Genomic DNA, 15,911 nt, shown 5'->3' on the forward strand with positions numbered 1-15,911 from the left:
AATGAATGTCTCCATAAAATTCAACTTAATAAACTGTACTATCTAAAAGGTATTTGTTGTTCTAAGGACTTACAATAAATCACTTTACCTATGGCAGGAATTATTTTACTGAAATCCAAATAACCCATTAAAGAACTCAGACATTTTAGATGAAATTTTATAAATGAATTATTTACCTCTCCATAAATTTATAATTTTTATTAGACTCTCAAACAGAGTCTGTCATCTACACGTGATAAAACATTGGTTTGATCAAAGGCATCACTTTCCTTTCGATTTTTAATTTATAAAATACATCTGCAGCACTTGAAAATTGATCTATTTACCCTGCATACTTTGAGTATATCTTGCTAACTTATTCATTGGACACTTTATTTTTTAAGATTACTAGTATATAAAGTGAAACTGAATTGTAAAACTTAAAATAATACATGTAGATAGATTTGCCCAAAATTTATAAGCGATTGAGCAAACTAATCACAAACACTTATAAAATAAATAAAGAGTAAAAGAAGTCTTATGGCAATCTGGAGAACAAACCTGTCTTGAAAACATTCGAATGTATTGTTGTATAAACAATTCTTGCCAAATGTGATCCTTGCCCAGAGAACAATTTCTTCACAGATGGCCCTAGGAAGGCCTCACAGTAGATTGGACTCAAAAGCACCTTGAGGTCAGGGTCTATTTTGTTCATAATTAGAACATCCAGGTCTAATATGTAGACTGTTAAAAAGTATAAGGTTAGATTACATACACATATATCTGATAATATCAAAAACTGGAGGTAATTCTGATACAGAAGATTCATAGTATTTATCATCTATAACTAATTGACCTAACTTCATGACTGAATTAAGAAAATGATACATTTCATTGTGATTAATTGTAATTGATGTCTTTAGAGAAGTATGCTTCAAATTTGATATATACTTATTTTAAATACAAAAATAATTCAAAAGTGCTCTTAAATAAAAATACCTTAAAAGAAAATAGCCAAAATCACTAAAAAATTCTCCACCATTAAAATATGTGGCTGCATTTTACGATAGAATAGCTGGCTATCAGAAAGTAGAAAATCAGGCCAACTAGTTGTAGTCTAGTTAAACTATATTACTCACCCAAACCTATAGGCTCAACAGTGGCCTAGTCTTCATGAACAATCTACATCAAAGTCAAAAAAAAAAAAAAAATTAAAAGAAGACTTGGTCTAGCATTCTGGGCCTCAGCATTCAAACTTGTATGGCTGTAAATATAATTTTGTCCTCCTGCCAAGTTTCAGCAGAAGGGATTTAACAGTATATCTGGGACTGAAACATTACCTTGGGTTCTAGTTTTAGGAAAAAAAGTCCTTGCTTTTTCAATAATCTCTCAGGGACTGTAATTCTGCTTTTGATTCCCACTCTCGTGGCTGAAAATTTACCACTCCTTACAGATACTTAATGATAAAAACCTGCTTGCCTGTCGGAATCTGCATATATATTATCAAAATCTTACCAGAAATTTTGGGACTGAGCAGCAAGTCAACATAATTGCCAATTCAAAAGCCTACTTTTTGTCTTTCCTTATAGAGCAGCTAAACTCATTTTGTACTCTTTCTGAAAGCTGAAACACTGTATCGTTTACTAGTCCTTGGTCTGAGTTGGAGTAATTCATCCAGAACGGTACACTCCATAAATTGTATATTTTACTTACTTAAATCCTCTCCCAGGTTTTGAAGGAAACTTCCCTCAACACCAGATCCAATTCCAGATCTTAATCCTCTTGAATTTTCCCTGATCTAGTTACTCAATTTAACATAGTCACGACCACACTATCCAAAAACCTCTTGAAACTCACTGGTATACAAATGTCAAATGAATAGTAAAGTGATTCGTAAAGAGGTCAGGTTATCTTGACGGCGTGTAACTGAAGTCCAGGGATGTACATCTGTCAAAAATTTACCAAAAATTATTTCTGAGTGTACTAAAAACTCAGTTATATTAGGGATTTCAAGGTATCTTTTCAAGTTTAAAATTCTGTGATTTTTGAGAATGGTAAGAAAAATATTTTTGAAAACAAGTCACTAACCACTGGGTTGACTAAAGAGCTAAATAAAATTGCAAAATCTCCCAAAAGAATCTAAGGTACATTTCATTAGGGAATGACATAGTACAGATTATTATGTGCTTGTTTCAGTGCCTGAAGTGGATCTTCTTAAAACAAAACATACTTGAAAAAAACAGTGAAAAAGCTTCCACAGCAAACATTTTATTTCAGCTCTTTTCTCATGCTGTCTGAAGGGTACATGAAGGGAAATCACTGAGTGCTCAGTGATTGTTTGCTTTCTTTTCTAAGATACCATATGTTCAAAAATGCATGTAATAATCAAGAATAAATATGTCTTTGACATTTAAGAGGAAAGTCAGCAGCATGAGCCGGGAATAAAAACAATTTTTTTTTTTCTGAGAGTTACAACTTTAAAGCCTTGGGAGTCAAATACCTAAGATGCCTCAAAGTTTCTCCCCTCAGTGTGAATAAACATTAGACAGGTTTCCTCCTGACTGTAGGCCTCTGACCTCTCTTTACTTAGAACGTTTATTTTAGAAAATTTTCCATTATAAATTCTTTCTCTGCTCCTTTGGGATGTGAATCTTCTCTGTGCCACTTGCCAATGTTTCTCGAGGGCCTGGAGCCTCCCTCTGCCCTGATAATCTTAACTGTTATTTCACTAAGCAAATGGAAACAAGAAAAATCAACTTCCACAAGCTCTTTTCACTACATGGGGCCACAAACATACCTTCTATATATACTGTTTTCCCTTTTGTTAAAATGGACGAAAGTTTTACACCCTTATCCAAGAAAAACCTTCCACTCCTGCATAAGATCACATCCTATTATTTTCTTTCATGATCAATTTTGCCATCTTTGGTAGATATTTATCATATTTACTGGCCAAAATCTTTCCCACTAAAAAAAATAAGAAAAGGAAAAGAAGGAAACAAAGCTTGCATTGATCAAACATTACCCATCAGTTACTGCCTGATTTCATTGCACTCATGTACAGAAAACACTTTCAAAGTCCATAATTATTGTCTCCAATTCCTCTTTGCTATTAAATTTTAAACCTTTCTAATATAAAGATTTAAAGATATAAATTTCTCTTCAGATGCTGGTAAAGCTGCATTCCATACAATTTAATGCGTTGCATTTTCATCATAATTTTTCTTATTTTATCTTTTACCCATGGGTTACTTATGGATGTTTTGTTTTATTTCCAAATATTTGGGTATTTTTCAGCTGTGGTTTTATTATTGATGCCTCATTTAATTCAATTATAATCAGATAACATATTCTGTAGGTTTTAAATTCTCTGCTATATCTTTTCTGGTCCAGAATATGATGTATCTCTGTGAATGTTTCATGTGTACTTGAAAACTGGAATTCCATTTTTTAGTGTAATATTCCATATGTCAATTAGATCAAGCTGGTGATAGTGTGTTCAAGTTTGTTATTAATCTACTGATCCCCTGCATTTTTATACAGATTGCTAAGACAGAAGTGTTGAAAATTATAAGACTAACTGTAGCTTTTTACTCCTCCTTTCAGTTATGCCATTTTATACTTCATGTATATTGAGGGTTTTTTTTTATATGAAGCACACACACACATTTAGGAGTTTTTTTTTTTTTAATGCATTGATCCTTTACTCAATACAAAATATTCCTCTTCATCTTTGGTATGAGTTCTTGTCCATGATTCTTTGCTTCATATAGCCACTTCCACTTATATATGATTAGTATTTGTGCAGTGTATCATTTTCATCTTCTTATTTTTCTATTTATCCCATCTATTCTTTGTTCCCTTTTATTGCCGCCTTTTGCATTAAATATATTTATTGTTCCATTTAATCATACAGGTTTTCAAAATCTTTATTAACGGCCACCCTAAGGTTTACAACATACACCAGCATTTATTACACCCATCTTTCAAATAATACATAAAGAATCTCACTGCAGTATATTTTGTTTTTTTCAGTCATTATGCTAGAATGTCACTCATTTTACTTGTTATAAATCCCACAATAATTGTCATTATTTTTGTTTTAAACAGTAAATAATATTTTTAAAATTTCAAATTATATATATTTACCAACATATTTATCATTTCTGGCTTTCTGAATTTTTTCATGTGAATCCAGAGTGTCACAACACATCATTTCTATTTGCTAAAGAACTTTCTTCAACTTTTTTATAATGTAGGTCTATTGGCAGTATAAACCAAATTTCCTTATCTATTCATCTGTTAATGGACACTGTTTATTTTGATTTCTTGCCTATTGTGAATAATACTGCAATGAACATAGGAGTACAGACATCTCTTTCGCATGTTGATTTCAATGCCTTTGGATGTATAACAGGAAGTGGGATTTCTGAGTCATATGGCAATTCTATTTTAGGTTTTTGAAAAACCGCCATATTGTTTTTCATAGCTGCTTCACTATTTTATATATCCACAACCAGTGCACAAGGTTTTGAATTTCTCCACATCACCATCAACTCTTTTTATCTTGATTTTGATAATAACAATCCTAAGAGATATAAGGTGATATCTCTGCTGTTTTCGATTTGCATTTCCCTGATAATTAATGATGCTGATCATCTGTTCAAACGTGATACTTGTTGGCCACTTGTATGTCTTCTTTGGAGATATTTCCATTCAAGTCATTTGCCCATTTTTTAATCAGCTTATTTCCTTTCGTGTGTGTGTGTGTTTGGTTTTGTTTTTTGCTATTAAGCTATAGAAATTCCTTATATAGTTTTGAAATTAATCCCTTATTAGACATATGGTTTGCAAATATTTTCTCCCATTCTTCAGGTTGTCTTTTCACTTTGATTTTGTCCTTTGCTATGCATAAGTTTATTGCTTTTTTTTTTTAGTTTGATATAATACCACTTGTTTGTTTTAATAATGAGAACACATGGACACAGGAAGGGGAACATCACACACTGGGGCCTGTTGTGGGGTGAGGGCAGGTGGGAGGGATAGCATTAGGAGATATACCTAATGTTAAATGACAAGTTAATAGGCACAGCACACAAACATAGCACACATACACATATGTAACTAACCTGCACGTTGTGCACATGTACCCTAAAACTTAAAGTATAATAAAAATAAATAAATAAATAAAATTATACAGATCTCTAGCTCACCCTGCAGCACAAACGAAAAATATCATTTTTATTACCATTAGTAGTAGTCGCTAACTTTCACTGGGTGCTTACTACGCAATAAAATCTGTGCTCAGTGCTTAAAAAAAAAAAAAAACTTGTCTATTTCTTATTTTGTTGCTTGTACCTTGGTGTTATAACCAAGAAATCAATGCCAAGACCAAAGTCAAGCTTTTCCTCTGTTTCAATTTTACCATTTCAGATCTAAGTTAAAGTCTTTAAGCTGATTTTTGTGTAGGATGTAAGATCCCAATGTCTTCTCTTTCTTTTCTTTCTTTTCCTTCCTTTCCTTCTTTCTTTCTTTTCTCCTTCTCTCCTTTCCTCCCTCTCTTCCTTCCTTTCCCTTACTCCCCTCCTTCTTTCCTTCCTTCCTCATTGCTCCCTCCCTCCCTCCCTTCCCACCTTCCTCCCTCCCTCCCTCCTCTATTCCCTCCTTCCTTCCTTCCTTCCTTCCTTCCTTCCTTCCTTCCTTCCTTCCTTCCTTCCTTCCTTCCTCCCTTCTTTCCTACCTCCCTTCCTTCCTTCTTTTTTTCCTTCTGTTGAAGAGACTATCCTTTCCACATTGTGTTTTCTTGACAACCTCGTCAAAGATCAGTTGACTATATGTGCATAGGTTTATTTTTAGGCTCTTTATTAGTCTATATGCGTGTATTTATGCTGGTACCATGTGGTTTTAATAACTATAGCTTTGAAATATATTTTTAAATCACAAAGTTTGATACCTCCTGCTTTCTTCTTTGTTCTTAGGATTGCTTTGGCTATTCTGGATCTTTTGTGGTGCTATAATAATTTCAGGATTGTTTTTAACTATTCCAGTTAAAAAAAAAAAAAAAAAAAAAAACGGCCAGTGAGATTCTGATGGAAATAGTGAACACAGGATGTCTTTCCATTTTCCATTTATTTATGTCTCCTTCAATTTCTTGTAACAATGTTTTGTAGTTTTCAGTGTACCAGTCTTTCACCTCCTTGATTAAGTTTAATTCTAAGTATTTTATTCTTTTTGAGGGCTATGGTAAAAGAGTTATTTTCTGAATTTCCTTTTCAAATGGTTCATTGTTAGTGCATAGGAATGCAAATACTTTTACTAAATTGATTTATTAGTTCTAACACTTTTTTCTGGAATCTTTATAGTTTTCTACATAAAATAGTTCTCCCTTATCCACAGGGGTGGGGGATATATTCCAAGACCTTCAGTGGATGCCTGAAATTGTGGATATTACCAATCCCTGTATATGCTATGTTTTTAACTATAGATATGCTCCTATGGAAAATTTTGTTACATGATTTTTCTGAGTATATTGAGATGGGAATATATTTTTAAGTTCTTTATTCTGCTAATGTGTTTATCACAGTTATTTATTTTAGCATGTTGAACCATTTTTGCATTCCAAGGATAAATTATACTTGATAATGATGTACGAGCTCTCTAATATGCTGTTGTGCTGATGTGTTCTATAAATAATGAGCTTAATGATTATCTTAGGTTAATCTTAAACAATTTTTAATTAGTGATTCAATTTACAATGCCTGCCTTTCCTAACATTTCATATGATCTCTCCCCAGTGTTCTCTTTTTAATAATTTTCACTAACATTGTACACATTTATTTAATGTCAATTCTTACTAGTACGTAAGATGGCACTTAGGACTTAGTGTCACTTCTACTAGTAGATAAGCTCCATGAGAATGGAAATGTTTTACTGTTTTGTTAATAACTGTGTGTTCAGCTGGTATGTCCATGTTTGGGGTACAGAATACTCAATAAATATTTTTTGAATGAATACAGGAAAAGAAAGAATCATTTTTAAAAATGGAAATAATGTTATACTAGGGTACTTTTCCTTCCTTGTATAAAATACTATGTGCAATTCGGAGTGGGTTGCAACAGATTACATCAGTTAGCCTCCTAGAAATTTGAAGCTAGATAGACTAAGGCCTGTAAACATATGACAAGACAATAGAATAGTGAGTGGTAAATAGAAGCTCTACAAATAACAGTTAGCAGCCCCCTACCCCCCAGCACACACAAATGTACAGTATGGTAATCAACACATAAAATATATAGCTGATTTTGGAAATTTTGAGTAAAGCAACACGAAAAAGGAAAAAGAAAATGTAATCAAATTGATCACTGGGTCTTCAATAAACAATATGTTCATAGTCATGCAATTCTAAAAGTTTATTGGGTTCGACACTTAATCAATAAATAATGGCAGACATCCTCATTTTGTTTAGAGAACAAAAGGTAAATAGTATCAGTCTTCAAATGCACAAATGTAACTTCAAAAATGAAAATTGGGAAATGTAAAATTGAGATTGAAAGCCAAAGGAAAAAAGAGGTCAGAAAATGTCATTTTCTTACAGTGCCAGGATATAAAATAGATTAATAATTTAATGGATACAAAGTTAATATATTCTTTTAAGGGATAAACTAGGATGGAAAGGAGTAGAACAGAAAGCTGATACCAGAAACCATGTATACATGTCATTATTATTATAATATTTAAACAGTAGTACCACTTTTATTTTCAAATGTGTATGCCATTTGAATAGTAAGCTAAGCTGTTATCAACATGGGGACAAGTTTGTTGTAAAGGCAGAGGTTTGGGATTTGGACTAAACTGGGTAAAATTTAGACTCTGTCACTCTCGGAAATCTGTTGAACATCTCTGAGACTTGGTTTTCTCATCTATGAACAAATTGTGGTTAATGACATAAAATGCACAAAATGCTTGATCACATGAAAGTGACTTATTAAATGTCAAATGTTTGGATCCTTTTTTTCCATTTTTTATTAATTGGACTTGAAGAAAAATGAGCTAAAATATGTATACCAATAGTAGAAATGTTGACTAAAACTACAATCCTAAAAAATTGCAAGATTTTTGCAGATAACTAGCATTATGATATTACAAATCTTCAAATGTTACCATCGTATAAAAAAAATTCTGGGCATCTTCTTTAAAAAGCGTATGTCATGTGCTTTATTGTTTTAAAATAACATTAATCTAGAATAGTCAGAAAGCATTTTGATCACAATGAAATTACACTTAATAATTTTCCTAAATAATTTTGGCCATTCACAGAAAAAAGTGCTATGGCACTTTCAAATTCATGATTACCTACTGTTTTTCTAATAAAGAATACAAAATTTTATATAGACACACATTTATTTTTTGTAAAATATTGCTAATTCCACAGGAGAGTATTTGTAATGCTTATTAATTTTGCATTTTAATGTTATTCAGAAATGCCCCCCTCCAATCAGAAAAATATACACAGACCAATTCTAGGATTGTCAGTGTTTGCCTAGTTATTACATTGTCATTAAGACAACAAAATAACTTATTCAGTTAATTTTATAAATTCAGCAATAATAATTCAATATGTACTTTTAACAAATAGTGTGCAATCAATGTTTTTCAAAAGCTGTACCATACCAAGGAACATCATATATATAAAAAAAAGTTTCATAATGCATCAGATTGATTTAGAACAATATTGAGGAAAATCACTTCAAAGTTATGCCTAATATTAACAATTCAATTATACAGATTTTAAAAATATATTTTCACACGTAACAGATTATTCTAATTCAAAATACTATAAAAAACTACATTATACTCTGTACATTACAATTCTAAGACTTGCAGTATTTTTTAATAGTCAGAAAATACTGCAAGATTAATCAATTAAAAGTAATTTTTGGAAATGCTCTATCCAGAAATAACCATTTTAAAATTTATTCTAAATATGTCTTCCTTAAGAAATCATAAGCATTTCACTAATTAATTTCACATTGTTATTCTTGGAATTGAGGCTATGGGAAGAAAAAGAATTTTGTTTAATCTTATCAACCTAACAAATATTTCTCCAAGATTCCATGTAATTGACCTGATATTTTGTATTACTTTTTCAAACGAAGTAAAAGTTTTTGTTGTTGTTGTTGTTTGTTGTTGTTCTACTTAACTGTCTTGATAAAATGTAAAATATGCCTGCTTATTCTCACTACTTACCAGTGGTTTAAATACAATTTTGAACCATGTTGAAGAGTATGTAGCCTAGGAATTAGCTTTGATTGTTATACCTTGTAAGATGGAAAGAGAATTTCCCCCATGTAATTCTCCATGATTTTTCCATATGGTTCAACTATTTAGTGTGAGTGAGTTTAAGAAAAGGGACATCTGACAGTCTTTAGACAAGTTGGAGTATTTTACATCATGTAAGAACATACCATGATTCCAGGTCTTCTGGCCCTCCCAAGACACTGGCTGTGTACTGGAAGCACATAAAATGACAGTGACACTGGCTTGATCATATTAAGGGCAAATGTCAAAACAGTTCATTTTCTTCCAAATTAATATCCAAGAAAAGTTTACTGCATGTGAAATGATTAAATTGTAGCAGGACTGTTTAATCACAAAGGAGGAATTGCTTATTCTCTTCAAGAACAACTTACTTGGGGAGAGGCAACTAAAAGAAATGATCTGGACCAAGCTCTCATGTATTCACCATACAGTCCCTACAAAATGATACAAACAAAACAAGCAGACCTCGACATTTTGAAAACTGGAGAAAACATGCATTTATTAACTTTTGGGGAATCAAAGAGCAAAGATTTCTACTATCCTGATTGAGTTTACATCAAATGCTGGAGGAGGAGGAGTGTCCTTTGAGAGAACTGTTTAATCAACCTCTGTGTAAGACATAATGTAGTGTTTGCATCAGCAACTATGCCAGATCCTTCCTAAGAAACAATATATTACATGGGAGAATGTTAATTACCAAGCAACGTGGTGTCCTGTATGCTAACATTGTTAGCTATTTAGCATAATGCATAATTTGTCTACATCTTTATTTGAATCATTGTACTCACCTATATATAAATATATATATATATAAATAAATGGTTTAAAAAAGAGGTGAATGATACAGCCTATTGTTATGTCCGGATAAGAGCATATTAGGAATAGTCTGCTTTCTATTTTATAACCAAGTCCCTCAAAGTTTCTGTCTCTCCAAGGGCTGTAGACACTTCCATGAGTCCCTGTACATCCAAACATAAAACAATTAAAAGAGATTCCAGTCTTTGCCAAAGGAGCAGAGATACTGTACCACTCATGAACATGAGTTTTTCTTCCTTACCCTTTCTATCAAGACCTAAAACTCCACCCAGTTACCAGGACTCAATGACACTCTTGTTGTCCCTTTCTTCAAGATGTCCCAATTCTGACACTGACTTCCCTGCTAGGTTTTTAAGAATTTACTTGCTTTCCTTATATAATAGTGCCCCCATCCACAGTTTTGCCTTCCCACAGTTTCAGTTACCCAAGATTAACTTTGACCCAATAATATTAAAAGGAAAATTCTAGAAAAAAACAATTTATAAGTTTTAAGTTATATGCCATTCTAAGTAGCATAAAATCTCACTCCATCCCACCCTGTCCCACCCAGGACATGAATTATCCTTTTGTCCAGTATATTCACACTATATATGCTTCCCATCCATTAGTCACTTAGTAGCTGTCTCAGTTATCACATTGGCTCTTGAAGTATTGCAGTGCTTGTGTTCAAGTGGCCCTTATTTTACTTAGTGGCCCAAAGTGCAAGAGTAGCAATGCTGCCAATTTGGATATGCCAAAAAGAAGGCATCAAGTGCCTCCTTGAAGTGAAAAGATGAAAGTTCTCAAGTTAATAAGGAAAGAAAAATATCTTAGCTGAGGTTGCCAAGATCTATAGTAAGACCGAATACTCTATCCATGAAATTGTGAAGAAGAAAAAAGAAATTAGTGCATAGTATATATAGGGTTTGGTACTATCGGCAATTATAGGCATCAGCTGGGGATGTTGGAAAGTATTCCCCGTGGATAAGGGGGATACTACTGTACCTATTGACCCCTTGCTACTCTACCAAACTTTTCACGGCTATATATGCTACTTGTTTCACTAAACAGTTTTTCCAACTGTTTTTCCAACAGCTGTTGAGTTCTACCTGTTTTATGAAGCTTCACTTGGCATGCCTTATTTCTTCTCCTGATTCATAAGTAAAAGTAAGACAGAATAATTTAATCAGAAGTTTAGATGAAAGTTGAATTAAAAAATATATAAGTATCCATCCCCTCAATCATTTATCCTTTGTGTTACACATAATCCAATTATACTCTTAGTTATTTTTAAATGTACAATTGAGTTATTATTGACTATAGTCACTCTGTTGTGCTATGAAATAGTAGGTCTTATTCATTCTATTTTATTTTGTACCCATTAACCATCCCAATCTCCCCGTCACCACTCCCCCACTACCCTTCCCAGCCTCTGGTTACCATCCTTCTACTCTCTATGTCCATTAGTTCAATTGCTTTGATTTTTAGACCCCATGCAATGTTTGCCTTCCTGTGTCTGACTTATTTCACTTAACGTAAGTAAATGCATCTATTACATACCCACAGAAATTTTTTTTAAAACAATATGATCTATAGCAGAGGTCAGCAAACTATGAGGGCCTGGAGACCAAATCCAGCCTGCCACTTTTTCTTGTAAATAAATTTTTATTGAAAGACAAAAAGTACATATATAAAAAACACAGGCAGTTCAACTGCAAATTTACCCATGTTTATACTGACATCTCAAGGGTTATGTGAAGCTGACATGACAAGAAACCTGCTTACCTCCTCACAACTAATGGCACATTTTTCAAATCAATGATTTTTTCCTAGACCAAGACATATTCTAACTCACACTTAATTAAAAATGCTATCAAACCTATACATGTACATAGTCCAAAAAGACAAGTTCCATAACATATAAGTGCAGCCTTCTCTCTCCTTCCTACTCTCACACATATTTCCACTCCGCAGAGGCAGTCCCTTTACAGCCCTAAAACTGGGTATTCTCTTAACCTCCTTCCATATTTCTAACTATGATTTTATTACTATTTCCTGCTTTTCAATTTAAATTATAATCTACTAGCTTTCTATTATGGAACAAAAGAGTATAACTTTCTTCTCATCCCTCATTCTGAATTTCCCTTTTCCCATCCTTTGAATATACAAGTCATGATTCACTTAGCGATGGGGATATATTCTGAGAAATCCATCATTAGACGATTTTGTCATTGGGCATAGACTGTACTTACACAAACCTAAATGGTACAGCCTAGTATGTACTAGGCTATAGGGTATAACCTATTGATCTTAGTCGACATCATCACAAACACATAAGCTCTGCACTGCTAAGTTACAACAGCTATGATGTCACTAGGCAATAGGAATTTTTCAGCTCCATTATAATCCTATGGGACGACCATTGTATATTCAGTGTGTCACTGAAATGTTATGTGGTGCATGACTGTAGTTCGATAATTTTTGTTAAATCAATCTTCAGTGTTCACATTATTATGGCTGTTTTTCATAGAACAGCATGTTGAGTGCTATAATTATATTTCCAATCTTGAATGATCTGTTTTCCGTTCTAATTGTCTCTTTTGACATTTGTTAGTTTTCTAACCACTCATTGCTAATTCAGAATCTGTCTGCTTGGGCTACCATAAAAAAATACCCCAGATTTGGCTGGGCACGGTGGCTCACACCTGTAATCCCAGCGCTTTGGGAGGCCAAGGCGGGCAGATCACCTGTGGTCGGAAGTTCAAGACCAGCCTGACCAACATGGAGAAACTCCATCTCTACTAAAAACACAAAAAATAAAAATAAATAGACAACAAACAAATAAATAAACAAATAAATAATTAGCCAGGCATGGTACCCAGAAGGCGGAGGTTGCAGTGAGCTGAGATTGTGTCATTCAACTCCAGCCGGGGCAAGAAAAGCAAAACTCAAGTCTCAAGAACAACAACAACAACAACAAAAACAACTCAGGTTTGATGACTTAAACAGAAGACATTTATTTTCTCACAGTTCTGGCAACTGGAATTTCTAGGACAAGGTCCCAGCAGAGTTGGTTTCCTCTGAGGCCTGTGACATTGGCCTCTTTACCTGGTTACTTTATATGCACACCCACCCCTGGTATCTCTGTATATCCTATCATCTTATTCTCCTCTTACAAGGACATCAGCCATATTAGATTAGAGCCCACCCTAATGGCTTCATTTTAACTTAATTACCTATTTAAAAGCCCTATATCCAAATACAGTAAAATTGTGAAGAACTAGGAGTTAGGGCTCCAACAAGTGAAAATAAAAGGGGAGACAAAATGCAATCCAAAACCCCTGCCCAGAAGTGGAAAGCTCTTCTCAATACACTCAACCACATCAGGTAACGCCAGCTTGGTCTCCTCCCCAGAGGTGGCCTTCCTGAAGTTCTCCACTCCTCACAATGGTCTGACTGCTGGCACTGAGAGCCTGCTGTTTAGGGTCCATTCCATTCTCTCCTCTGTGCTGGATCCCCTGAGGCTACTTCTCCTTCACTCACTCCTTGTTTTTGGTAAACACATCTTCCAGCAGCTTCCAGAGAGTTGTGCATTCTTTAAAATCTTTAGTTTATATAAATAACTTCTTTCTACTTTCTTTTTTTTAATTTTTAATTTTTTTTATTTATTTTATTATTATTATACTTTAAGTTTTAGGGTACATGTGCACAATGTGCAGGTTAGTTACATATGTATACATGTGCCATGCTGGTGTGCTGCACCCATTAACTCATCATTTAGCATTAGGTATATCTCCTAATGCTATCCCTCCCCCCTCCCCCCTCCCCCCACCCCACAACAGTCCCCAGAATGTGATGTTCCCCTTCCTGTGTCCATGTGTTCTCATTGCTCAATTCTCACCTATGAGTAAGAACATGCGGTGTTTGGTTTTTTGTCCTTGCGATAGTTTGCTGAGAATGATGGTTTCCAGCTGCATCCATGTCCCTACAAAGGACATGAACTCATCATTCTTTATGGTTGCATAGTATTCCATGGTGTATATGTGCCACATTTTCTTAATCCAGTCTATCATTGTTGGACATTTGGGTTGGTTCCAAGGACATTTGGGTTGGTTCTACTTTCTTACTAGACCAAACTTTTGCCAGGATACAAAATTCTAAGTGAAAAAATATTTCCCTTCAGAATTTTGAAAGCATTGTCCCACTGTCTTCTGCCATTACTGATGAGACATCTGAAGACATTCCAATTTTCCACCCTTAGTTTTGAATATTTTCTTCTTTTTCTCCTATTGTTCCTCTTCCTCATATGCCTTTTCCTTTTTCCTTTGGCTTCTTCTTTTGTTTCCTTCTCCCTGACCAGCACAGATCTTTTCTAGTCCTTATTGTATAATGAGTGGGCCCTCTCAATTTGACAATTTTTGTGTGGAAAATTTGGGCGTATTATGTCTTTCATAATATTCTACCCTAGTGTTTTATAAAATCCCTTTCTTAAATTCCTACTATATTGATATTGCTTCTCTCTAACTACCATAATTTTCTCAACTTTTTAATTCTTCTTTTACACTATTTGGTTTTATTGTTCATTTTATTATTCTTCATTCTTCAATGTTCTTAGGTTTACCTTCTAGGCTTTTTATTAAATTATTCATTTGTTATGCTAGATTTAATTTCCAGGAGCTCTTTCAGGTTCACTGAGTGTCTTGTTTTGTTTTGTGATCTAGTCTACTATTCTTATTTTATGTATGTACCATATTCTCATGTTACTAGGAATATTTATTAAATATATACTTTAAGATTGATTTCTATTTCCAGAACTATATGGTATTGTTTGATTCCTCTGAGTTTCTCTTTTTGTGTATGGTTTTTGTTTGTTTGTTTGCTTATTCCTTCTTGTTCTTGTTAGAAATGTCCTCAAATCCCTATGTCTGCTGTCTGGTGTCTGAATACAAGCAGGAGTTAAGCACTCAAAAGAGGTTAGGAGTTGAGTGGAGGCAGAGAGCTTTTCTCACATAGATTTCATTTTAGAGTGATCAATGTTTAATATTGCACTGGGGAACACCAGGTTTCATATCTCTGCACACACAGACACACAGACACACACAGGCACACACACTTTTGATTGAATGATATAATGCATTTTATCTTGTGTTGAACCATTTCCCATGAGGAAACTCCTCCAATCTTGTGTCAATGTCAATAGAGATATGGACCAGGCTGTAATGCTTCTCAGAGTCATTTGGGAAAATCATATCACGTTCAGTGATATGATTACTCTTAATTCCCTTAATTTTAGCATGGTGCCTAGACTCTTAACTGTAGCTGGTGTTTCTGAGTAGAGTATCCCTGGATCAAATTCTCCAAATAGCAAACTCTTTTACCAGGATTAGGAAAGTAACCAGCAATGGATATGTACAGGGGTTCAAAGAACCTACTTTTCTTATAGACTTCTAACCAGTATTCATGTATTTAGTCATACATATAACCCTACATTCAGAGACATCTGGTACCTCTATTTTCTGAGACTGTTGAGGTTCGGTTGCAAAACGCAGCTTGCTTCTAATTTGTTTCCTGTCTCAACTTAAATTTTAACTTCCTTCACTGTTGACACTCATCTATCTGCTTTGTAGCTTGCAAAATTATTATTAATATAAAATTAGTATTGTCTCATCTACCAAATCTGTTGTCCCTATAGGTATAAATCTTCTTACTCATTTCTTCCAATTTAGTAGTGTCAGGAAAAAAAAGAGAATGCATTTGATTAACTAAAACCTTCCAAATTCACATTACAAAGGGTACTCTAGAAGGTATTATGTATTTAT

General features: G+C 33.8%; 1 protein-coding gene across 14 annotated transcripts in view; it reads right to left on the reverse strand.

The window, feature by feature from the left end:
* KCNT2 (potassium sodium-activated channel subfamily T member 2) overlaps positions 1-15,911 on the reverse strand; it is a 382,662-nt gene that overhangs the window by 179,640 nt on the left and 187,111 nt on the right. The window contains exons 1-2 of one of the 14 annotated variants that reach the window (XM_017001181.2): positions 2,777-2,893; positions 541-723 (exon numbers count right to left, since the gene is read on the reverse strand). The exons of the other annotated variants lie outside the window; for them this stretch is intronic. Of the exons in view, the coding sequence (XP_016856670.1) occupies positions 541-555 (15 nt within the window). The 5' untranslated portion in view covers positions 556-723; positions 2,777-2,893. Of the gene's footprint in view, positions 1-540; positions 724-2,776; positions 2,894-15,911 lie in introns of those variants that run through there. 14 annotated transcript variants of the gene reach the window in all.

Source organism: Homo sapiens, chromosome 1 (assembly GCF_000001405.40).
Source record: "Homo sapiens chromosome 1, GRCh38.p14 Primary Assembly".
Lineage (NCBI taxonomy): Eukaryota > Metazoa > Chordata > Mammalia > Primates > Hominidae > Homo > Homo sapiens.